We start from the raw sequence: 23,950 nt of genomic DNA, 5'->3' as shown, positions 1-23,950 counted from the left end.
AAGTTGGCCGGGCTGGTCTCAAACTCCCCACCTCAAGTGCTCTGCCCGCCTCGGCCTCCCAAAGTGCTGGGATTACAGGCATGAGCCGTGGTGTCTGGCCCTAATGTGAGTGATCTTTAACACTGAGCACTTGAAAAAGAAAACCCTGAAGAAACCTAATTCTTTGATGTCTGGATGACAAGGAAGAAGATAGAAATGGCATCAGATAATAAACAGTGTAAATGTTTATCAGAAAGAGGCTGGTGGTCGGGACAAGTAGGAGGATTGCTTGAGTCCAGGAGTGCATCTCTACAAAAAAGTTAAAGGATTTTTTAACATTGGCCAGGCGTGGTGGCACACATCTGTGATCCCAGCTACTTGGGAGGCTGGGGCAGGAGGATTGCTTGAAGCCCAGGAGGTTGAGGCTGCAGTGAGCTGTGATCGAGCCACTGCACTCCAGCCTGGGTGACAGAGCAAACTCCAGTCTCAAAAAAAAAACAAATAATAATATTTTACATAACCAACCACTTCTAAAGATTAAAAAAACCCCTATGATTAAAAACCTCAGGTCCCTCAGGCAATCATACCAGATATTGAAACAAAGCAATAACATAAGGACTGCAGTATTCATTTTATTTTTATATTATTTATTTATTCTTCCTTAGTTTCTTGAGATTATCATCCGCTGAGGGTGGAAGGGGAGTGAGCAGACACACTTGGGAGGTGTCTTGAGATTATCATCCACTGAGGGTGGAGCTGAGGGTGGAAGGGGAGTGAGCAGACACTCGGGAGGTGTCTTGAGATTATCATCCGCTGAGGGTGGAAGGGGATAGAGCAGACACTCCGCAGGTGTCTTGAGATTATCATCCGCTGAGGGTAGAGCTGAGGGTGGAAGGGGAGTGAGCAGACACTCGGGAGGTGTCTTGAGGCTCAGGGAGTTATCAATTATAGAATGTTGTTGAGTTGGAGGAGGTGGCTGGTGGCCCATCCTGTTTTTTAAAGTTTCAGCTGTGAGGTAGGGCCAGTAGGGCAATCCTGAAGAATGACGATGCTCCGCTGCCGCCATTCTGACCTGTAGGGCCAAAGGAGGGAATGTTTTCACACATATTCATTTGATGGACAAAATTACCGCCACCAACACAGTCTGCACCTTCTGTTGCTGGTGATAGATTTTTGCACCTTTCCATTCTCCAGGTTTCAAAATAGCAGTGTCAGTGTCATAATATCACCCTTCCACTGAGTACTGCCGACAGCTGGGGGGTAAAGAAAAGTCATTGGGACACACTGTTGTCTCCACATGCCACTGTGTCTGTCTGCAAATGTAGGCAGGCTGGGGTCCTGCCCCAGGGAAGACAGAGTCATAACAGAGTAATAAAGAAGCATGTTTGAGACACAGGAGTGTCTATGTCTATCCTCATTCCTCCCTCACAGCCATCACCAGAGCATGTTTCTTGCACCAGGTCAATAGACAGTAAGAGACAGTAAGAGAGGCATGAAAAGCCCATTGTCCACACATGTTGCAGCTTCTTTTTGGAGAATGTTTTCCAGGCCTTTTATGTTCTGTCTCTGATTCTCAGAACTCTGCAAGGTCAGTGTGACCACCCTGCTCCAAATCTAAGAAAACAGAGGTTTCCAGAGGAAGGAGAAATTGTGCCCAGGGTCACACAGCTTGCAAGAGGCAGAGTGGAAGTTGATTCCAGCTCTGCCTGCAGGACCCTCTCATTTCCCCTCTGTTTCCCTTCTTGACAAAGGATCTTCTTCACTCTGGAGGTGCCACCCATGAGAACAAAGAGCTCTGGAGAGATGTGGATTCCTGAAGAGCTGCAGGGGAACTGGGAGAGGGTTTTCTGACAGAACAATCTTACCTCAAGAAGTCAGTTAGGCATGGCTGTAATATTTCTTTTCACTCCCAGGTAATACCAAATTGTAAGTGCACTAGGACCTAAAGAATACTTTTGTCCATGGAAAAATGAGGTGGGAATTCTAAACAAAGCAAGTTTTAAAACTGTGTTTCACTTCAAGTGTACAAGTCCCATCGCGTGTAATCATAGGACTCGGCAGCTTTTGAAGGTACAGAGGCCACACAAGAACCAGCTTAGCTGAGCATCATTTAAGGCCTTCATTTGGAATTGTCCCTGTGGGTAATAAGTTACATTCACTCTTCACTAATTTACAGTCAGGGCCCATTTGCTATTACAAATACGGAACCTCTGACACTTAGAATATTAGATGGGGGCCCCACTGGGTGGGGATGAAGGTGTTTTTGCGCAACACGGTTACCAACAGGGATGGGACTGTGATGCTTGTAGGCAGCCTTCCTCTCTGCCATCTCCCTCTGCAGGGCTTGAGCACAGAGCCGTAGGGAGAAAAATGTATCCATGTCCTGACCTGGCAGACTATGTCCAAAAGCAAGGAAAACAAGCAAACTTACCCGGTTGCAAAGAGGCTTTCTTGCAGAAGGGGTGATCTGAAAAAGCCAACACATGAGAAATTGAATGTTGAGAGAGTCTAAGGGCCGTGGCATCATCTGCATCAGCACTGAACTATCCTGCAACTGCGGGGAGGAAGCTCCTTACTTTGCATCTGTAGTAGTCCTCTGCCCGCCGCCGCAACGCTTGCGCACGTTGAAACATTTCCCTATGGATTACAATCACTTTCATCAGATAAAGCACCACTTTCAGGATGATTTTAAATAATCTGCCATGTTTCTGTTATCCTCACAACTGTACCCTTACACAATCTATCTCTACCTAGAAAACGTATTTCAGATGGCTGTAAGAGTACAGTCTGAGCCGGTCACGGTGGCTGACGCCTGTAATCCCAGCACTCTGGGAGGGCGAGGCGGATGGATCACGAGGTCAGGAGATTGAGACCATCCTGGCTAATACGGTGAAACCCCATCTCTACTAAAAATACAAAAAATTAGGCGGGGGTGGTGGCAGGCACCTGTAATCCCAGCTACTCAGGAGGCTGAGGCAGGGGAATCACTTGAACCTGGGAGGCAGAGGTTGCAATGAGCCAAGATCACGTCATTGCACTCCAGCCTGGGTGACACAGCGAGACTCCATCTCAGAAAAACAAAAACAAAAACAAAAACAAAAAAAACTGTACAGTCTGATCCAAACTGTTGCTGTATTGATTCCTCCTCTTGCTTACTGCCTGCTGACTTCTGAGATGATAGCTTCCTTCCCCATTCTCAGTATATCCCTAATTCATCCTTCATTGAGCATCTTTTATCATAAAGCTGTATTCTCTTTGTATTAATATCTTTACCGTGTTTCACAGGGCAGAAACAGCTGGGCTTATAAACAGGCATAGTCCTTTTGAAGGATGTGGTTGATCCTACAACAACACACTTTCCTAAGGATGACAACAACTCACCCCACCCCTAGAATGGCTGGTATGAACCGAGTTTCCACACAGTCTAGCTGGCAATGGGGTCAGGAGCCGTTTTGCTACTTCACATCTTTTGGTCACTGGTAAATATTAAGGTACTTTGTTTTCTGTTTTGTGAACTCTCTCTCTCTCTCACGATATGTCTTCTGACCATTTGTTTCTATTTCTGCATTTACTGGGTCTAAACATTGTACAAAGGTTAAAAACAACACTCCAATGGGCGTTTCCCAAGAGGGTGGGGTTCAGTTTCTGAACTCACATGTAGGTGTGTATTTCTTTCATATCCAATTTCCCGTTTTCCTCTGCCTCTGACACCTGCCTCTCCTTTTCTCCGTGCTCACGTTCTTTCATGCTTAGTTTCCTCAGACTAGAAGGGAGAGAAATGCACACACATGATCCACCAGCCCGTGTGGGATTCCCTCTGCCCTTCTGGCATCTGAAGGCTGATTCAAAGATCCCCCCTGCAACCTTCCCACAAATGAACCAACTGATTCTCACAAGCAAAGGGAGAATGGACACCTCCCATTGAGGGACAAAAAAAAAATCACACTCTGGCCTGCTGGCAAGTCACCTGTCATTTCCAGCTCATCTTCATAGTTCCATAGTTAGTCCTATTCTTTAGTAAATATAAAGACTATTAAAAGCTTCTATGAGGTGCACTATGTGTGTCTCTGGGGTCAGTCTTGTGCTTGACACAGCGAAAGCTCATTTTAGTTCAGTGTGAAAAACCAGACCTCACCAATTCATCACAACTAACTCCATCGGAGGCAGAGGATTGCTCCTCATCTGACTCCTCCTGTGTGAGACCTGATTCTCAGTCAGAGGCTGATGCCGGAACTGAGACCATCAGCCATAGAGAGATCCTTCCAGAATATGGTGTCATTAACCCCGCAGTTCACTACTGCACTTTGCCATGATTCAGGACTGGAACTCTTGTCATCGACTTTAAAGATCCTGAAAAGGCAATCTGAATGCTGGGCGCATCTATTGAATTAGAAATGATCGGAATGGCTCCTAAGTCAGGGTGTTATGTCCTGAAAATAGGTGACAACTGCAAACCATCCACCCTGGTGTTGACTGACTTTAACAAGGTTCAGTTCACAGAGATTGAGGGCAGAAAAAGGAAACGGCCTCAAAAGGGTAAGTTTGCTGTGTTGCCCTCACACCACTTGATTCATGGTCCTGATCCTAAGGATCTCACCTGATACTTGGTTTTATAGGAAGGATGTGTAAAATTCCCAGAATGCTAGGAAACAGAGACGAAAACACTTCAAAGAGAAAGTTAATGAACTTGTTTCTGACCACAGGGCATCCTTCAGCACATGCTGTCTGGAGTGGCCTCAAACAAGGTGTGTGTGGTGAGGTGCTGACAATGCAATGGGAGCAGGGTCCTGTCCCCACGCTAAAGAAGCTCACAGTTTAATGCAAATGAGAAGCCAGTGAGGACAGCACTACTCCTGCTGTGCACTTGGGAACTAGAAACACAAAACCTGACTCTGGAGGGAAGCTAAGGAAGCATTCTACTCTTGAGTTGACATAAGTGCATCTGAAGCTTCTGATCTCCGATGAGAACAATGGGGGACACCAAACAGAATATAAAACCCATGACTGAATACATCAAATTGCTCACATGGCAGTAAACAGACATGAGGTGAAGATGGAGAAGAAGGAAACCCAGGACGAAAGTCAGCCTCGCATTTGGAACCCATTTCCCTGAGTTTCATTGCTGAATTCCAGAAGGAACTACTGAGATGCAAAGAAGCACAGCAGCTTTTGCACACATGTGTGGGGTTAGATGGAAAACAAGTGGATTGAGGGTCTGCCAATGAAAGCGACCCATACTGAAGTCCACTGGCTCTGGTTGAGACCCAGAAGAGTCATGCATCAGAATAGAGGTGGACAGGAAATACCCTGGCCTTTGTAGGGACTGAGCCTGCACTGACGACCTCAATTGCAGCCTGTATGGAGGACCCCTGACCATCCCCCAGAAGTAGACTCCCATCTCTTCTGCAGCAAGATAACATGCTACTAGGCCTCAATTCATTGCTAAATATTTTTTAACAAGTATCTCACATTTAACAAAAAAAGATCAGTCATATGGCAGCAAAATACAATGTAATATGACCAAAACATGAAAGACTGTGAAAATGAATCTGGAGGTGACCCGAGCATTGAATTCAACAATCCAGGCTGGGTGCGGTGGCTCACACCGGGAGGCTGAGGTAGGCAGATCACCTGAGGTCAGGAGTTCAAGACTAGCCTGGCCAACATGGTGAACCCGTCTCTACTAAAAATACAAAAATTGGGCTGGGCACGGTGGCTCACGCCTGTAATCCCAGCACATTGGGAGGCCGAGGTGTGCGGATCATGATGTCAGGAGTTCTAGACCAGCTTGGCCAATATGGTGAAACCCCGCCTCTACTAAAAACACAAAAATTATCCGGGCATGGTGGCATATGCCTGTAGTCCCAGCTACTCAAGAGGCTGAGGGATAAGAATCGTTTGAACCTGGGAGGCGGAAGTTGCAGTGAGCCAAGATCTTGCCACTGCACTCTAGCCTGGGTGACAGAGTGAGACTCTGTCTCAAAAAAAAAAAAAAAAAAAAAAAAAAATTGGCCAAATGTGGTGGCACACTCCTGTAATCCAAGCTACTCGGGAAGCTGAGGCAGAATTGCTTCAAACTGGGAGGCAGAGGTTGCAGTGAGCCAAGATTGCACCACAGCACTCCAGCCTGGGCGACAGAGCGAGACTCTATCTCAAAATTTAAAAAAAAAAAAAAAAGGCTGGGTGTGGTGGCTCACGCCTCTAATCCCAGCACTTTGGGAGGCTGAGGCGGGTGGATTACCTGAGGTCAGAAGTTCGAGACCAGCCTGGACAACATGGTGAAACCCCATCTCTAGTAAAAATACAAAAATTAGCTGGGCGTGGTGGTGGGCACCTGTAATCCCAGCTACTTGGGAGGCTGAGGCAGGAGAATTGCTTGAACCCAAAAGGCAGTGAGCTGAGATTGTGCCATTGCACTACAGCCTGGGCAACAAGAGCAAAGCCCCATCTCAGGAAAAAAAAAAAAAAAAAAAAGAGAGAGAAAGGAAAACCAATGCCAGTACTAGCAACTCCTCTTCCCCTGAAAAAATGACAAACAAGAATGTAGGAAGGGAAAGGAATTATACAGCTTAAACTAATGAAGCAGAAAGGACAAACTCAATTTTGAACCCACTGAATTTGCCACAAATATTGTAGAAAATATTCTCAAGGACTTTACAGTTGTCTACTTTGATTGGCACATGGTTCATACAACAGTATTTGTGTCAAGGCACATCTTACTGTTCTTTGGCGGTCTTCCTCTTTCCATTGATTTTGTCATGACGGTTGACTTTTGTTGTCACCTTCATCTTACAGATTTTAGCTCGAACTTTGGTTTCCACCTGTCTCCATAAAGTAAAGATGTCTTCCAGGACAATTTTAATTCCTGGAAAGGAAGAAACTCTTTTCTTTGTGTGCATACAAACGGACCTCAGCCCTTGGTGAGAGTGAGGAGAGGAGAAGGTGAGAAACCTGAGGGCAAGAAGCTGTTCTTTCCCTTTCCAGGGCAAACTCATTTCCACACTATGGGGACTCCAACAGAGCCATACCTTCCTGTCTACGGCGGTTGGACCTCCTGGCTCTCTGCTGTACATCCGTGGATCCATCATGTCCATTTTGAGACGGGAAGATAGTCTTCAGGAAAGACACCTAGGAAATAATAATATAAGAATGACGGCTGGGCACGGTGGCTCATGCGTATAATCCCAGTACTTTGGGAGGCCGAGGCAGGGTGGATCACGGGGTCAGGAGTTCAAGACCAGCCTGGCCAAGATGGTGAAACCCCGTCTCTACTAAAAATACAAAAATTAGCCGGGCATGGCAGTGGGCGCCTGTAATCCGAGCTACTCGGGAGGCTGAGGCAGAGAACCATTTGAAGCTGGGAGGCAGAGTTTGCAGTGAGCCGAGATCACACCACTGCACTCCAGCCTGAGCGACAGAATGAGACTCTGTCACACACACACACACACACACACACACACACACACACACACACACACACACAAAGAATGACATGAGGCTGGCACGGTGGCTCACTCCTGTAATCCCAGCACTTTGGGAGGCCGAGGCAGGCGGATCACCTGAGGTCGGGAGTTTGAGACCAGCCTCACCAACATGGAGAAACGCTGTCTCTGCTAAAAATACAAAATTAGCCAGGCATGGTGGTGCATGCCTGTAATCCCAGCTAGTCAGGAGGCTGGGGCAGGAGAATCACTTGAACCCAGCAGGAAAAGATTGTGGTGAGCTGAGATTGTGCCATTGCACTCCAACCTGGGCAACAAAATTGAAACTCTGTCTCAAAAAAAAAAAAAAAAAAATAGGCCAGGTGCGGTAGCTCACGCCTGTAATCCCAGCACTTTGGGAGGCCGAGGCGGGTGAATCACAAGGTCAAGAGATGGAGACCATCCTGGGCAACATGGTGAAACCCCGTCTCTACTAAAAATACAAAAATTAGCTGAGCATGGTGGCGCACGCCTGTAGTCCCAGCTACTCGGGAGGCTGAGGCAGGAGAACTGCTTGAACCCAGGAGGCAGAGGGTGCAGTGAGCCAAGATCCCACCACTGCACTCCAGCCTGGTGACAGAGTGAGACTCCGTCTCAAAAAAAAAAAAAAAAAAAAAAATGACATGAATATACTTCACACAACTGAACTGTACACTTCAACACGGTTAGATGGTAATTATCATCTTGTAAGTATTTTACCACAGGTTAACATGTTTCACAACTTGAAAAGGAAGTAATTAATTACCTTCAGCTCTCTGAGTTCTAGAATTTGTAACATTTCACCCCCTGCTCCTTCCTGATCTGCACTGGAGCATCTTTCTTCTGTCCCTGCTCTACTCAGAGTTCACTTTCCCTTCCCTCACATCAGCTTCGTTGAGGCTGGTTTGAACTTAACGCAAAACATTCTCACTAATGACTGAATTCCCGCCAAGATTTCCATATTATCACAGTATGCTTTTAATCTTCTAAGATATTAAATATTTGTTCTCATCATAGCTAAAATGCAATGCAAATCCCATCTCAGATGTGGGTCAGATACCTATGAATCTCCTGAGGTAGTCATTGAAATGACTTTTTTCTTGAGACGGAGTGTCACTCAACCATGCTGAAGTGCAGTGGCGCTACCTTGGCTCACGGCAACCTCCACCTCCCAGATTCAAGCGATTCTTGTGCCTCGGCCTCCCAAGTAGCTGGGATTACAGGTGCCTGCTACCATGCCTGGCTAATTTTTGTCTTTTTAGTAGAGATGGGGTTTCACTATGTTGGCCCATCTGGTCTTGAACTCCTGACCTCAAGTGATCCACCTGCCTCAGCCTCCCAAAGTGCTGGGATTACAGGCATGAGCCACCACACCTGGCCTGAAATAATATCTTTCAAATTCTTTGTAGAATTTGTTTTTTCCTGATTTCTGCACATAGGATGAAAAAAAAATCATGTACTAGGATTTCGAGAGAAGCAATGGGTAATCTAAAAAGATGAAAAGAGAAACCACGTCTATCCCACAGCTACTGCTAGATTTCATAGGAAAGGTAGCTGGCCCAGTTTGGAGCTAGGAGAAATGTCAAACACATGAAGAAATGAGAAGCAAAGAAATGCCATCACACATGAATGCTTCATGGCACCCATGATGTCCCTGCTTAGGAGGTAATGGTATAGATGACTAGATGACAAGGACAAAGATGAGAGGTGCAAAGTTGTCCAAGTCCAATAGCTCAACTGAACTTTCCTAATGGAATTGTTAAAAAGTGGTAAATTTAAAAACTTCCCCTGGCTCACGTGGTGGCTCACGCTTGTAATCCCAGCACTTTGGGAGGCTGAGGCGGGTGGATCATTTGAGGTCGGGTTTTGAGACTAGCCTGGCCAACATGGTAAAACCCCGACTCTACTAAAAATACACAAATTAGCTGGGCATGGTGGTGGGCACCTGTAATCCCAGCTACTTGAGAGGCTGAGGCAGGGGAATCACTTGAAGCCAGGAGGTGGAGGTTGCAGTGAGCCGAGATCACACCATTATACTCCAGCCTGGGCAACAGAGGGAGACTCGTCTTGGGGGTGAGAAAAGAAAAAAAAAAAGCTTCCTCCAATTTATACCGAAAATTCTCTGTTCAGGACTAAGTGGCATAGAGAATGTTAAATGTGCCTAGATATCTTCATAACTCATATATTTTCTGTTTTCTACATATCTTGAAAGGCAGTGCCAAATGACGTGTAATTATCTAGGCGGTAAAACTGAAACATACTTCCTCTTCCCTTGAATATCAAAAAGCATTGTGGTATTAGTACTTTTATCTTGGATCATTGTTCAGAAGGAGGTTCAGCCCCCAGACAACCACATTTTTACTGTCATGAATGGCAAGACAAAATGTAGAGCTCAACTTACCCAAAGGATAAAAGGCTCAAAAGACAAATTATGGCACAACTTAGCAGCCAAATTCTTACCAAGTACAGACTTTTGACATACTGATCTCTCTCCAGTTGCAAGTGGGAACATGCACTTTGAATGATGTCATTCAAAATTACCCTGCCCAGACACACTTTTCATTGATTCTCTTGGAGGGCAGTTCTAAGAGATTCTCTGGGGCTTTCTCTGCATCATGAGACGCAGTGCAGTTCTGCCCTTCACCTTCCGGCAGTTTGTCACCTCGTCCCTATGACCTCCGAGGAACTTTGTCTCAGGCCAACTGTTTGTTCCTTGGGCTCTTTCATTTCCCCTAAAAATCATTTGCTGCCCCTCTAAATGGCCTACATCTCCATCTATCTCCCTCTCCCCTCAGAAGAGGGTGCTCTTTAAGCATCAACCATCCAGCCCTTCTAGCAGTCTCATTTTTCAGCTGGTTCCCATGTTTATGTCTGTTCTATGTTTTTCTTTTCCTGTTAAGCTGTCTGTTGTCAGCTCATTTCTGCAGTGAATCTTCAGAGAGGAGATTGGAAGCTTTCCTTCCACCCATACGATAGAACTATAAAGCAGAAGAGTTTAGAAAGACTTTCCCATTTAAGTGACGAAACCTCATACTCCATTTGTGACAAATAGCACAAAGGTTAAAAAAACTTATTTTTGACCAAAAGCTCTGTTGACATTCTATTAAACACCGACCTATTTAATTTTCATAATGTAAATGGCAGATATTTTCATAATTCTTATGCTAATAAATCATTTCCCTGATTTTTTGGGTAAAACCACATATTCACAATGAAGTCCAGAAACGTGAATTGTTTCATATAATTTACTCTTATTTGTGATTACAAGTATACCTCTACAGAAAGTTAGTATACTCACACAAAGGTAACTTGTGCAGAGGGAGATGGCAAATTTATAACTTCTCAGAAACACAGTAATGATAAGTAACCAAGGACTTCCACCAAAGTCAGTCCCACGATGACGATGGTCAGCCAGAGTATTGATAACCTGGAATAATAATAGTTGAAATAATGAAAAGGTCAATGACACTGACAATATTTCACTCAGAAAGAATCATCCTTAGAAACCGTCAACCTCCTCCAAAAGGTAACCACATCCCTCAGATATCACCATGGGATTCCACTGCTACAAAAAAGAACAGAAGTTAGAGAAGTCTCATGTTTTTCAGATGGCTGGTAGTGTTTTTAGGCATTGCAAATGTGGGGTGTTGTCATTCTTGGTATAAAGCAGGGATATCCAATCTTTTGACTTCCCTGCCTATATTAAAAGAAGCAAAGTTGTCTTGAGCCACACATAACATACACTAACAATAGCTGATGATCTAAAAAAAAAAACTTTTTTTCTTTTTTTTTTTTGAGACAGAGTTCCGCTCCACTCAGTCGCCCAGGCTGGAGTGCAGTGGTGCAATCTTGGCTCACTGCAACCTCCAGCTCCTGGGCTCAAGCCATTCTCCTGCCTCAGCCTCCCGAGCAGCTGAGATTACCGGTCTCTGCCACCATGCCCGACTAATTTTTGTATTTTTAGTAGAGATGAGGTTTCACCATGTTGGCCAGTCTGGCCTTGAACTCCTGACAGGAGATCTGCCTGCCTCGGCCTCCCAAAGTGCTGGGATTACAGGTGTGAGCCACCGTGCCCGGCCATTTTTTTTGTTTTTGTTTGTTGTTTGTTTTTGAGATGGGGTCTCACTCTGTCACCCAGGCTGGAGTGCAGTGGTGTGCTCTCGGCTCACTGCAACCTCTGCCTCTCAGGTTCAAGTGATTCTCCTGCCTCAGCCTCCTGAGTAGCTGGGAGTACAGGTGCCTGACAGTGCACTCAGCAAATTTTTGTATTTTTTGTGGAGATGGGGTTTTGCCATGTTGGCCAGGGTGGTCTCGAACTCCTGACCTCAGGTAATCTGCCCGCCTCAGCCTCCCAAAGTGCTGGGATTACAGGCATGAGCCACTGTACCTGGCCAAAATCTCCTAATGTTTTAAGAAAGTTTACAAATTTGTGTTGAACTGCATTCAAAACTGTCCTGGGCCACATGCAGCCCGTCACTCATGGGTAAGACAAGCTAAGTATAAAGTAATTATCTTTTCTTTTCTTTTTGTTTTGAGACAAAGTCTTGCTCTGTCGCCCAGGCTAGATTGCAGTGGCATGATCTCAGCTCACTGCAACCTCCGCCTCCCGGGTTCAAGCGATTCTCCTGCCTCAGCTACTGAGTAACTGGGATTACAGGCGCCTGCCACCACGCTCGGCTAATTTTTGTCTTTTTAGTAGAAACAGGGTTTCACCATCTTGGCCAGGCTGGTCTCCAACTCCTGACCTCATGATCCACCTGCCTCGGCCTCCCAAAGTGCTGGGAATACAGGTGTGAGCCACTGCACTTGGCCAGTAGTTATCTTTTCTTTAATTATTTGTTTTTTAAATTGATGTATAACATTGGATGCATTTATTACATATCACATGGTAAAAGAATCCCTCTAAATAATACTTCTCTCTTGGATTACATGAATCTTTGTCATTTAAAGCTCAGTATAAGTAAAAAAAAAAAAATACAATGAAGAGATTACTTCATTCACAAATAAGTATCGAATTTTAGTGCTTAAAAATTAACAAGGTGGGCCGGGCGTGGTGGCTTACGCCTGCAATCCCAGCACTTTGGGAAGCCAAGGTGGGTGGACCGTGAGATCAGGAGATTGAGACCATCCTAGCTAACACGGTGAAACCCATCTCTACTAAAAATACAAAAAATTAGCAGGGCATGGTGGCACGCGCCTATAGTTCCAGCTACTTGGGAGGCTGAGGCAGAAGAATCACTTGAACCCGTGAGGCAGAGGTTGCAGTGAGCCGAGATCGCACCACTGCACTTCAGCCTGGGTGACAGAGTGAGACTCTGTCTGAAAAAAAAAAAAAAAATTACCAAGGTGGAGATCATGAAAATGGCATGAATAGTGTGGGATTTCTCTAAGATTGTTGATATTAATTCCATTAGACTCTTATGTGAGTGAAGACGAAGACTTCCCCTGAGTAAGTTCAGACAGCTTGTGATAACATTTCTACATCAATTCCTCAGGATTTAACTATATATTCTTGAAAACATCTCAATTTTAAGTGTTTCTTTCAAGATGGTGAATTAAACAGAGATAGCCCTTCAACAGGTTGAACTCAGCATATGCTGAGTCTGAAATGGAAATGATGGAGTTAGAGAACCATACAACAATGGTAATGATTTCAGAAACATGGTGTTGAGCAGAACAAAGCAGACACAAAAGAGTACCTATGGCATGGCATGCATCTGTATACGCGAAATTCCAGAATAAGCAAGCTAACCTATGATAAGAAAGAGACTGGCTGGGAAGAGTGAGAGTTCACTTTCTGGGGTGACATAATAGTGTAGATCTTGGCTGGGCACGGTGGTTCACGCCTGTAATCCCAACACTTTGGGAGGCCGAGGCGGGCGGATCACCTGAGGTCGGGAGTTCAAAACCAGCCTGACCAACATGGAGAAACCCTATCTCTACTAAAAATACAAAATTAGCTGGGAGTGGTGGCACATGTCTGTAATCCCAGCCACTCGGGAGGCTGAGGCAGGAGAATCGCTCGAACCTGGGAAGCAGAGGTTGCGGTGAGCTGATATTGCCCCATTGCACTCCAGCCTCAGCAACAAGGGAGAAACTGTCTCAAATAAATAAATAAATAAATAAATAAAATAATGTAGATCTTGAACGGGGGTTGGTTTATGCTGGTGTATGTACTTTCCAAAGTTAGTAAACTTACACTTGAGGTTATATATTTTGGCCAGGCGCGGTGGCTCACGCCTGTAATCCCAGCACTGGGAGGCCGAGGCAGGCGGATCACGAGGTCAAGAGATGGAGACTATCCTGGCGAACATGGTGAAACCCAGTGTCTACTAAAAATACAAAAATTAGCCAGGCGTTGTAATCTGAGCTACTCAGGAGGCTGAGGCAGGACAATTGCTTGAACCCCGGAAGCGGAGGTTGCAGTGAGCCGAGATCTTGCCACTGCACTCCAGCCTGGGCGACAGAGTGAGACTCTGTCTAAAAAACAAACAAACAAAAAAAAGTCATCAAACCAGATGACACAAATCAAATGACATTTCACTTTGTTTTGGTCCGTTTTGTCTGTTGGAGACAAGAGTGCAGCGGGGCCATCTCGGCTCACTGCAACGTCCAGCTCCTGGGCCCAAGCGATCCTCCCACCTCAGCCTCTCCAGTAACTGGGATAACAGGTACGCACCACCAGGCCCGACTAATCTTTTTTGGAATTTTTTGTAGAGATGGGGTTTCGCTATGATGCCCTGGCTAGTCTTCAACTCCTGGACTCAAGTGATCTGCCCACCTCGGCCCCCTAAAGTGCTGGGATTACAGGCCTGAGCTGTGTAATTTCATGCCGCGTGACACAGCCCAGTAAAAAGGAAGAAACCCCGCGGGTCCAGCGTCTACTCACACAGGTGGACTGATGGCTGATAAATCCCAGCAGGAGCCAAAAGAGCAGCCACAGCACCCATCTACTCACACAGGTGGACTGATGGCTGATAAATCCCAGCAGGAGCCAAAAGAGGAGCCAAAAGAGTAGCCACCGCACCCGCATGTCCTGGTCCTTTCAGGGCTCCCTGAGGCGGCCAGGACAGAGGTGGAGGTGGCTTAGGGCAGGGGGGAGGGAAGGGGACGGGGACCGGGGCCGGATCTGAGTTGGGGAGGGGGAGGGGAGGGGGAGGGGAAGGGGAGGGGAAGGGGGGAAGTAAGGGAAGGGAAAGGAGGAGAAGGGGGCTGTTGGGGAGGAGGAGGAGGAGAAGAAGAAAGGGGTCTGGGAAAGGATCCGGTTCAAATTAAGTTCTCAAGCGCTGGTGGAAGGTTTAGCTACAGGTCACGGAGAAGATCAGGGAAGCAACAGGACAGGCAGGGCAAGGGAGCGTGAGGCTTAGGAGCAATTAGAGGGAGACAAAGGTTCTGCTTTCCACCAAACCTTCTTCGGTCTGGGCCCTCCCTTAGCAACCCTGGGGCTTTAGACTCTCTCTCCACCAATCCCTGATGACCCCGGTGGTGCCTCACAATGGACATTCCAAGTAGCGCCCGCATCATCCCAATGACCCCTCCCCCATCTCAGTCCCCCACGCTCCTCCCAAGGCCAGGTCCTCTCTGGAACCTTCACAAACCTGACTTCTGGTCCTCCCCAACCAGCTCCCTGTCCCTGCTTCTGGGCGCTCCTTCCTTCCTGAGCTCCCAGGGTTCCTCAAGGTCACTTTTGGCGACAAAACATAAAAAACAAATGATGGCAGGATGGCAGGAAGAACCTCATACCCAAGCAGAGTGCCAGGTTTTACAGCCTCCGCTCAGCCATTCATATCCTAAGCAACAAAACATCAGCAGGATGCGGAAGGTCCCGATAGTAAACCATCTCCATCACATCCATGTAGCCATCCGTCCATCAACCTGTATCTCAGGAACAAATGTACATACATTCATTTTAAGCATGCATGGTACATTTACAAAAATTAACCTGACTTATTTTGTTCCAGCAAATCTCAATATATTTGAGAGCAATCAAATCACACAGCATGTTTCTGATCATAAAACTGTGCTAGAAGTCAATGATTAAAAGCTAATTCAAAATTATTATTTGCTTGGAAATTCAAAGTGCCCTTATAAGACATAAACATAAGAAAGAATCCAAAATGAAACAAGATTGCCTTTCAACTCAATGATGAGATCATAACATGGCAATAAAATGTCTCCCTCTGGCCGGGGAATTCCTCTTTGTGGCACAACGTTGTGTGATCTCAAATCACCCCTAACCCACCTAGACATTTTAACATCCAAAACCGAGTGATGATGTCCTTATCTATATCATCTTACTGCCCGTGTGTGTGGACTTTAAATTCTGAACCCAAATGAGGGGGAGAAAACCAAGCTGACTTTCATGACTGAGCTCTCAGGGACGTCCAAGGAATCTGTGCATTTCAAGAAACAAAGTTCATCAGCTTCTCTCCTAAGGTATTTGCCCACAATAGCCAGAGGGCTTGGCCGCATCATGTGTGATGGGTGGGGAGCTCCAAGCAGGTGGGCAGGACCCAGGGGCCTGGTGACCAGGACAGACCCCCACTGTCCATCACCTTTCCTGGCCCTGTCCTCAGCTAAACTTCCCACAGGCCTTCTGCCCGATCACACAGAGTGTGCCCAAACTCACTCAGGCCTCTGGCAGCTGAAAACCACTGCTTTAAATCCCTTTACCATTTACTATGACATAAGGTTATTGTAAACAGGAAATATTCTATTGATGCTACAAATGGAAAGCCAATGCCTTTACCATAAATAGAAAAACAACCCTAAGAAACAAGCAAAACAGGGGCTGGGGGTGGTGGCTCACGCCTGTAATCCCAGCACTTTGGGAGGCTGAGGCGGGCGGATCACAAGGTCAGGAGTTCCAGACCAGCCTGGCCAATATGGTGAAACCCTGTCTCTAATAAAATACAAAAATTAGCTGGGTGTGGTGGTGGGCGCCTGTAGTCCCACCTACTTGGAAGGCTGAGGCAGGAGAATAGTTTGAACCCGGGAGGCAGAGTCTGCAGTGAGCCGAGATTGCACCACTGCACTCCAGCCTAGGTGACAGAGCGAGACTCTGTCTCAAAAACAGCAACAACTACAAACAAACAAAAAACAGGGTTAACAAAAGTATGGAATTCAATTCTTTTTATATGCTGCAGCCATGTTCCAGCCCTAGATTTGGCTGGGCATGGTGGCTCACGCCTGTAATCCCAGCACTTTGGGAGGCTGAGGCAGGCGGATCACGAGGTTAGGGGTTGACACGAGCCTGGCCAATATGGTGAAACCCCATCTCTGCTAAGAATACAAAAATTAGCTGGGCATGGTGGTGCACACCTGTAGTCCCAGCTACTCAGAGGCTGAGGCAGAGGAATTGCTTGAACCCGGGAGACGGAGGTTGCAGTGAGCCAAGATTGTGCCATTGCACTCCAGCCTGGGGGACAGAGTGAAACTCTGTCTCAAAAAAAAAAAAAAAATATATATATATATATATATGTGTGTGTGTGTGTGTCTGTCTGTGTGTGTGTGTGTATCTATATAAATCTCAAAAATAAAAGATCATTTTTGAGATTATCATTTTAAAAGACAAGATAATGTTCAACTTAATGAATAATTTAATTATTACTACTGGACTTTTTGTAGACTGCACAGAGCATTCAAAACAAATGAAGGAGAATAAAAAATATGTATTACATGTTGTAAAATAAATATGATGTGGTTAATTCTTTTATTCAAAATTATAGAACATATATATGTACTGTAGAATGTATTTCTTATTATGAGTCATGTTAAAAAGTAGTTTAGAAGCTGTTGATTTGAATTTCCTTTTCAAATTTTGCAGGATAATTTTTTTTTTTTTTTGACAGAGTCTCGCTCTGTCGCCCAGTCTGGAGTGCAATGGCGTGATCTCGGCCCACTAAAACCTCCACCTCCTGAATCTCAGCAATTCTCCTGTCTCAGCCTCCTGAGTAGCTGGGACTACAGGCTGACACCACCATGCCCGGCTAATTTTTGTATTTTTAATAGGGACGAGGTTTTGCCATATTGGTCAGGCTGGTCTCGAAGTCCTGGCCTCTGGTGATCCACCAGCCTCAGCCTCCCAAAATGCTGGGATTACAGGCATGAGTCACCATGCCCAGCCTAAACTTGGCAAGATAATAAATAACCTTTTAAAGTGTCGTTGGGCACTTGTCTGGTTGTTTTTCTTTAGGTTACCATGCCAGCAATGATTCCTTTTGAGTTTCTGACAGAAGATAGTGGTTTTCATCCAAATAAGTCAACTACTCTACCCCATCCCTAAGCCACTTGTATGGAAAGAAAAAGAGGAAGAAGCCAGTACTGAGACTGCGTAAGCTTCCCCCAGCATCACCCGCTATGAGATGTGTGGCAGCTGAGACCCGGGAACTGCTCAAGGGCACCAGGCCCCATCTGTCTGCACTCACTCACCTTCCTCAGGTACTCGCATGGGCATGTCACTGACTTTACGTGCTGCTGCAGCTCCTTGGTGAGCTGGCCCTGGTCATGGGACAGGAACCGTGGGGTCAGGACAATAGAGAGCTTCACCATTTGCAGAATGAGAACAGGGGCTCATGATGAGTGCCAACCTATTAGACAATTAAAAAAAAAAGTGTTGAATGAGTGGAAAAACAAGGTGATGTTTGAGTCTATAGTGGTCAAGGGCTTCAGAAAAGGACAGAACCAAGTTCAAATTCCTGTACTTTGAATTTCTACTTCATGCCATGCAAAATTACTTTACCCCTTTTAACCTCAGTTTTCTTCTGTGTGAAACAGGAACAATAGTTTCATTCGTCATTCAGTTTCTCTCAAGGTTTCACGAGATCATACCTATAAAACATCCAAGTCATTTAAATGTATCATCATTTCGGTCATAATTAGTGGGATCCATTTCACTATTATTGGATATACAGTTCTGTGCCTGAAACCTACAAAGAAAGAAAATGTTAAGTCTAAAAAGCATTAGTGATTTCTCATTTTTATATTACTAATTATAACCCTATTTAATCACACAAGGCCTTGTCCGCGGCAGGTGCTCAATAAACACTTGTCGAATCAATGCATGTGGGCTCCGGAGCCACACTGTTTAGATTCTATTCTGCCTCCACCACTTATCAGCTGTGTGATCTGGGTAAGATAATTCACCTCTTTATGTCTGCACTTCCCTCTCCATAAACTATATATAACGAGAATCCTTAGCTCATTTGGTTGTGGTGAGGGGTGAATGATTTGGCACACAGGAGGGGCTTGTTAACATTAGCTGTGATGATCTCCTTCCAAATCTTCATTTTCAGAGCCACAGATGAGGCCATAGGGCAACCAGGTGACCTTAGAGTGTAAGTACACATGATCGCCAGCTATGCTCTATCTCCACCATAGGTCCAAGACTGGGTAGTTCTGGCCTGGAGGCTTCTGCTGCATCTGCCTTCTCAGTGTTCACCTAATGACTTTTGTATTTTCCTCCTCACATCCCCACAGATGGGGTTCAGGCTGCCGAACACAGCTGGGTGATGCCAGGGCAGTGGCCACCTGTGCCAGCCCTGTGAGGTAGCTGGAGGATCATTGTTCCTTCCTTCTCGGGCTCTGGGCAGATGCCAGGGCTGGGGTGACCCATGACCTCAAGTTTCTTGCTTTGGAGGGCCACATTTTCCCTTGGCAAAGAGGGTAAAGGTCACAGGATGCCGGAGAGCTGTGACTTCTCTGTGCCCTGGGCCCAAACTATGAAGACCTGACACACTATGCTAAAAGTCCAAGGCTGGATGCTCCCCAGAGCTTCTTGCCTCACCGCTTCTGCTGAGGGAGGAATGAATACTATGTCCTCCCAGAGCTTTGGGAGCTTGTAGCAAGCAGCCTCCCCAGCGCAAAATCTCTTGGAAACCTCTAACTGTGTCGGAAACATTAGTGCAAATGTTGCATCCTATTTCCCATATGTCCGCGTGTTTTAGGAAAAAACCCTCAATTTCCTAAATATGCAAGAAAAATTGGTATTGTAGGACAATGTGACTTTTTAAAAAATGTTATTTAAACATCTTCCCCACCTCCTTTTCTGCCCTCCAAGACTGCCAAATACTTGTTGAACAAATATTATTAAATGCCTACTACGTGCCAGCCATGATTCATGGTCTTGGGGACACAGCAGAGAACGAACTGACAGGATTCCTCCCTTATGTAATTCACATTCTTATATGATAATGATAAGGGTTAACATTAATTAAGCTGTCACTACGTGTTAGTCACGGTGCAGTCATTCCCACACATTATTACACTTAAACCTGCTAGCAAGCTTGCAAGGTAGTTAGTTGTTTTTCCTTTAAAAACTGAGTCTCAGAATGATGAAGCACTTTGTCCAATGTCACACAGCTAGTAAGTGTGGAGACCTTGCATCCAATCAATGCCCGTCTCATTCTAAACACCACATTATGTGTTCTCCAGCCCATGGAGAATAATTTTAACACAGTCAATGAAATTTCTACACAACAATGTTCTTGTCTCAAGTCCAAGAATGCCTCCTACACCTCCCATAATACTGGCTTTCTGGTGAGTAAAGATGCCATTCTCATGTGTAATCAGGTGGCAAATGGAGATATGACCAAAGTAACCATTTGCCTACACTCGTAACCCTGTACACACTCTTCCTGTGTCGATTCAATTCAAGTACCCCTTTTGATCACTTAGCAAATCTGACCTTTAAAAGGGTTAAGGTTTTTATATCCATGTAAGTTTCTGTATTGCTTTGGAAGTCTCTGGTTAAATGAATACCCTTTTTAATAGTGACCTGTGATTCTGTTTTGATCAAGTGTTTACAAACTTGACATCTTTGATGGGTTTCTCCAGTGTCAAAATCCTAAATCAGGTCTTTTTGGCTTAAAATTAACTTTGGGATTTTTCAGCTGCATCCCTTCGGGAGTCTAAAGAATGCATCTCTCATCTTGTAGAGGTATTAAGTGATTCGATTTATTTGGTAGATTATATGGGCGGGCATTGTCAAATGTGGTGATACTGCATGGGAGGGCACTGTCAAGTGAGGTGACATTAGATCTCATCTCAGTTATATTTATGGGTATGTTGTTGATATACGTGTTCCAAAAATTACATACATTTATACAAATTTAATATGTTATGATTTGTAATTTTGATTGTTATGCTAAATATTTGCTAAAGTTTAGCTTTAGCAATATTATGCTAAATATATGCTAAATATTTGCTAAAGTTATATTTGCATAAACATGTTATGAATGGCTGGGCACCATCACTCATGCCTATAATCCCAGCACTTTGGGAGACCAAGGCAGGTGGATCACCTGAGGTCAGGAGTTCAAGACCAGCCTGACCAATAGGGTGAAAATTACACGAAAATACTGTCTCCATGAAAAATACAAAAATTAGCCAGGCTTGGTAGCACAGGCCTGTCATCTCAGCAACTCGGGAGGCTGAGATAGGAGAATTGCTTGAACCCAGGAGGCGGAGGTTGCAGTGAGCCGAGATTGCACCACTGCACTCCAGCCTGGGCGACAGAGCTGGAATCTATCTAAAAAAAAAAAAAAAAGTTATTAATTATTTCTGAAGATGATATGAAATTTATAAAACACTGGTGGTCCTGATGTAATGCTGTCAGTCATGATTCTGATCACTGTCTTAAAATGCTGCACATAAGATAAGTAATTGGCTGGGCACAGTGGCTCACACCTGTAATCCCAGCACTCTGGGAGGCCGAGGCGGGTGGATCACGAGGTCAGGAAATCGAGACCATCCTGGCTAACACGGTGAAACCTCGTCTCTACTAAAAACACACAAAAAAAAAATTAGCCGGGCATGGTGGCGGGTACCTGTAGTCCCAGCTACTTGGGAGGCTGAGAGGCTGAGGCAGGAGAATGGCATGACCCTAGGAGGTGGAGCATGCAGTGAGCGGAGATCACGTCACTGCACTCCAGCCTGGGTGACACAGTGAGACTCCGTCTCAAAAAAAAAAAAAAAAAAAGTAATTAAATTTCCTTGTGAACTGGGAAGTTTCATCAGACTTTTATCATAACTATTGTTTTCATCATCCACAGTTAGTTTTGAATTCTTCTCTAAAAATATTTGTAATTGGCAGTAGTCCAAATTTTCTTTTGTTTTCTTTCCTGTTTTTGAGACACAGTCTGGCTCTGTCGCCTAAGCTGGAGTACAGTGGTGCCATCTTGGCTCTCTGCAACCTCTGCCTCCTGGGTTCAAGCGATTCTCCTGCCTCAGCCTCCCAAGTAGCTGGGACTACAGTCGCCCGCCACCACGCCCAGCTAACTGGTGGTGGTACAGACGGGGTTTTACCATATTGGCCCGGCTGGTCTTCAACTCCTGACCTCGTGATCCGCCCGCCTCAGCCTCCCAAAGCGCTGGGATTACAGCCGTGGAGCCACCGCGCCCGGCCCCCAAATTTGCTTTGCATGGAGAAAACTCTAACAAATCCTCTTGAACATGGTTTTCTGATAACCCAGATCAATGAACTACCCAGGCTTCACCACTATAGGCATGTGAGAAACTCGCACTTATACCCCCTCAATACATTAAAACTAAATATTTTTTTAAAAATCAATGGGCCAGGCGCAGTGGCTCACGCCTGTAATCTCAGCACTTTGGGAGGCCAAGGCAGGCGGATCACTTGCGGTTAGGAGTTCCAGACCAGCCTGGCCAGCCCATCTTACTAAAAATACAAAAATTAGCCAGGCATGGTGGTGCATGTCTGTAATCCCAGCTACTCGGGAGGCTGAGGCATGAGAATCGCTTGAACCTGGGAGGCAGAGGTTGCAGTGAACCAAAATTGTGCCACTGCACTCCAGCCTGGGCGACAGACTGAGACTCTGTCTCAGAAATAAAAAAAATAAAAACCAATGAACTAAAAACCAATTTCTAGTGGCTTCTAATAAGGAAACAATGGTTCAAAAAACTGCTAAGCAAGATCAAGCAAAACAAAAAAATCTATTAAGATAATGTTTTTATAATTCGTATTTAAAACATTGTTGTTTGTTGATTCTTGATTCATTCTTTTTTTTTTTTTTTGAGACGGAGTCTCACTCTGTCACCCAGGCTGGAGTGCAGTGGCGGGATTTCTGCTCAGTGCAACCTCCGCCTCCTGAGTTCAAGCCATTCTCCTGCCTCAGCCCCCCGAGTAGCTGGGATTACCGGCGCCCGCCACCACGCCCAGCTAGTTTTTGTATTTGTAGTGGAGACCGGGTTTCACCATGTTGGCCAGGCTGGTCTCCAACTGCTGATTTCAGGTGATCACCCCCCCGCCTGGGCCTCCCAAAGTGCTGGGATTGCAGGCGTGAGCCGCCGCGCCGGGCCCTTGTTTTGTTTTCTAGATTGAAGAAAATTTTTTCTCAGAAGTTATCTAGAATTTACACCGATTTGGTAAAGCACACTTTTGTGAACAAAGGTGGGTGGAAGCGTTTGTTTTTCCTTCCTACTTGATCCTTCCAAAGTTTGGAAACTATTCATAAATATTCTTACTTTGATGTACACATGTTCTCCTTATAAGCAGGCTGTAATCAGAATGATTGGTTATATTATCAAGGCTTTGACTGAAACATCCTATTTAAGAATACGCAGAAAATGCCTGGCTTCGAGTTTGCAGCCTTACGTTCCAGTCAGGGGGAAACTGTCACTCCCTGCAGGCCTGAGAACCTGAGAGCTTTTCCGGGAGCAACTTGGCAGGGAGGGTCCCGGCAGCTGCTCCGTGGGCAGGAACCATGGGGCGCAGCCCCGGGCGACCCTCGGGCCGGCGGGGACCTTCCGCTTCCTGGCGTCTTTCTCCATCGCCCCGCCGGCTGCTGGGGAAGCGGCGGGTGCCCAGTGCCTGGAGGTCGCTCTCTCCCCACCTCTGGCTGCGGGAACGGAGAGGCCGCGGCGGCCGGAGCAGGGTGGGCGGCCTGAGGCGAGAGCCCAGCCGGCCTCCGCGGGGAATATGGCGACCTGCGGCGAGCTGAGCGTCAACTGCTGCGCCGCCGACTTCTCGGAGCAGCGAAGGCGACTCGAGAGAAGACGCCGCCAAGTGGAACCCGGGCCCCGCGGCCCTGGGATGGGGCAGCAGCCACTGCAGCCAGGAAGCCCTGGGCGGGGCGCTGGGCGCCAACGAGCGTCACGGCAACCTCCATGCGGCGCCCTCACCAGCCTACAGGCGGCACCGCAGCAGCCTCCAGGCAGCGCCCACACCAGCCTACAGGGGTCGCCGCTCGCACTGCACCTGCCTCCGCCGCCCCGGGGTGTGAACTGCGCTGTCTGTCGGCCTGGCTACGCTGACCCGGGCAGCCCAGGCCCGCAGCAGCCGGACGAGGAGCCCAGGGCCACTGCCCGGGGTTACGAGAAGGAGCAGGACGGTGCCCCAGAAAAATGCAAGAGCTCAGAGCTAGGGCCCCCGTGCCAGGAAAGGCTAGGAGCAGAAGATGGAGAGATGGAGATGGAGAAGCGGCAGGTGGGAAGGAGCGGCGCTCCACCGGTGGGGTCAGCATGCGCTGGCGGGGCTTAGAGTATGAAGAGGA

The 23,950-nt window shown here is 46.3% G+C and overlaps 2 protein-coding genes across 15 annotated transcripts in view; one reads left to right on the top strand and one right to left on the bottom strand.

The window, feature by feature from the left end:
• The window catches only part of LOC100652777 (group 10 secretory phospholipase A2), a 33,438-nt gene extending 15,562 nt beyond the window's left edge, over positions 1–17,876 (top strand). The window contains exon 5 of one of the 2 annotated variants that reach the window (XM_047435004.1): positions 17,291–17,876. In XM_047435004.1, coding sequence (XP_047290960.1) covers positions 17,291–17,505 — 215 coding nt within the window. In that variant the 3' untranslated portion in view covers positions 17,506–17,876. The remainder of the gene's footprint in view (positions 1–17,290) is intronic. The other variant, XM_011522790.4, reaches the window with a different exon arrangement.
• NPIPA3 (nuclear pore complex interacting protein family member A3) lies at positions 592–23,523 on the bottom strand. Of its 13 annotated transcripts, NM_001277323.2 has the most exons (12): positions 22,923–23,523; positions 21,126–21,219; positions 18,270–18,367; positions 17,871–18,028; positions 15,183–15,314; positions 10,738–10,866; positions 7,008–7,107; positions 6,700–6,844; positions 3,635–3,742; positions 2,556–2,616; positions 2,411–2,446; positions 596–1,051 (listed from the first exon to the last, which is right to left on the bottom strand). In NM_001277323.2, the coding sequence occupies exons 5-12, from the start codon at positions 15,243–15,245 to the stop codon at positions 641–643; spliced, it is 1,053 nt and encodes a 350-aa protein (NP_001264252.1). In that variant the 5' UTR covers positions 15,246–15,314; positions 17,871–18,028; positions 18,270–18,367; positions 21,126–21,219; positions 22,923–23,523; the 3' UTR covers positions 596–640. The 13 variants fall into 13 exon arrangements, with proteins under 13 accessions (NP_001382416.1, XP_011520878.2, XP_011520885.1 ...); NM_001395487.1 differs by lacking the exons at positions 15,183–15,314; positions 18,270–18,367; positions 21,126–21,219 and adding an exon at positions 18,191–18,269 and having other exon boundaries at positions 592–1,051; positions 23,053–23,523; XM_011522576.3 differs by lacking the exons at positions 15,183–15,314; positions 18,270–18,367; positions 21,126–21,219; positions 22,923–23,523 and adding exons at positions 15,038–15,124; positions 18,191–18,269 and having other exon boundaries at positions 592–1,051.
• Positions 23,524–23,950: the final 427 nt, after the last annotated feature.

The sequence above is a fragment of the Homo sapiens genome, chromosome 16, assembly GCF_000001405.40.
Source record: "Homo sapiens chromosome 16, GRCh38.p14 Primary Assembly".
NCBI lineage: Eukaryota > Metazoa > Chordata > Mammalia > Primates > Hominidae > Homo > Homo sapiens.
This window is presented reverse-complemented; position numbering and strand designations above follow the sequence as displayed.

What these genes read in the sequence shown, in the direction of transcription:
- NPIPA3 (XM_011522576.3), bottom strand. Translation starts at nt 17,990, where the DNA reads ATGGTGAAGCTCTCTATTGTCCTGACCCCACGGTTCCTGTCCCATGAC. An exon ending in CAACCGCCGTAGACAGGAAG is followed by an intron (nt 6,845 to 7,007) that starts GTATGGCTCTGT and finishes CTTCCTTTCCAG; the next exon opens with GAATTAAAATTGTCCTGGAA. An exon ending in AAAGAAATACACACCTACAT is followed by an intron (nt 2,617 to 3,634) that starts GTGAGTTCAGAA and finishes TGTAATCCATAG; the next exon opens with GGAAATGTTTCAACGTGCGC.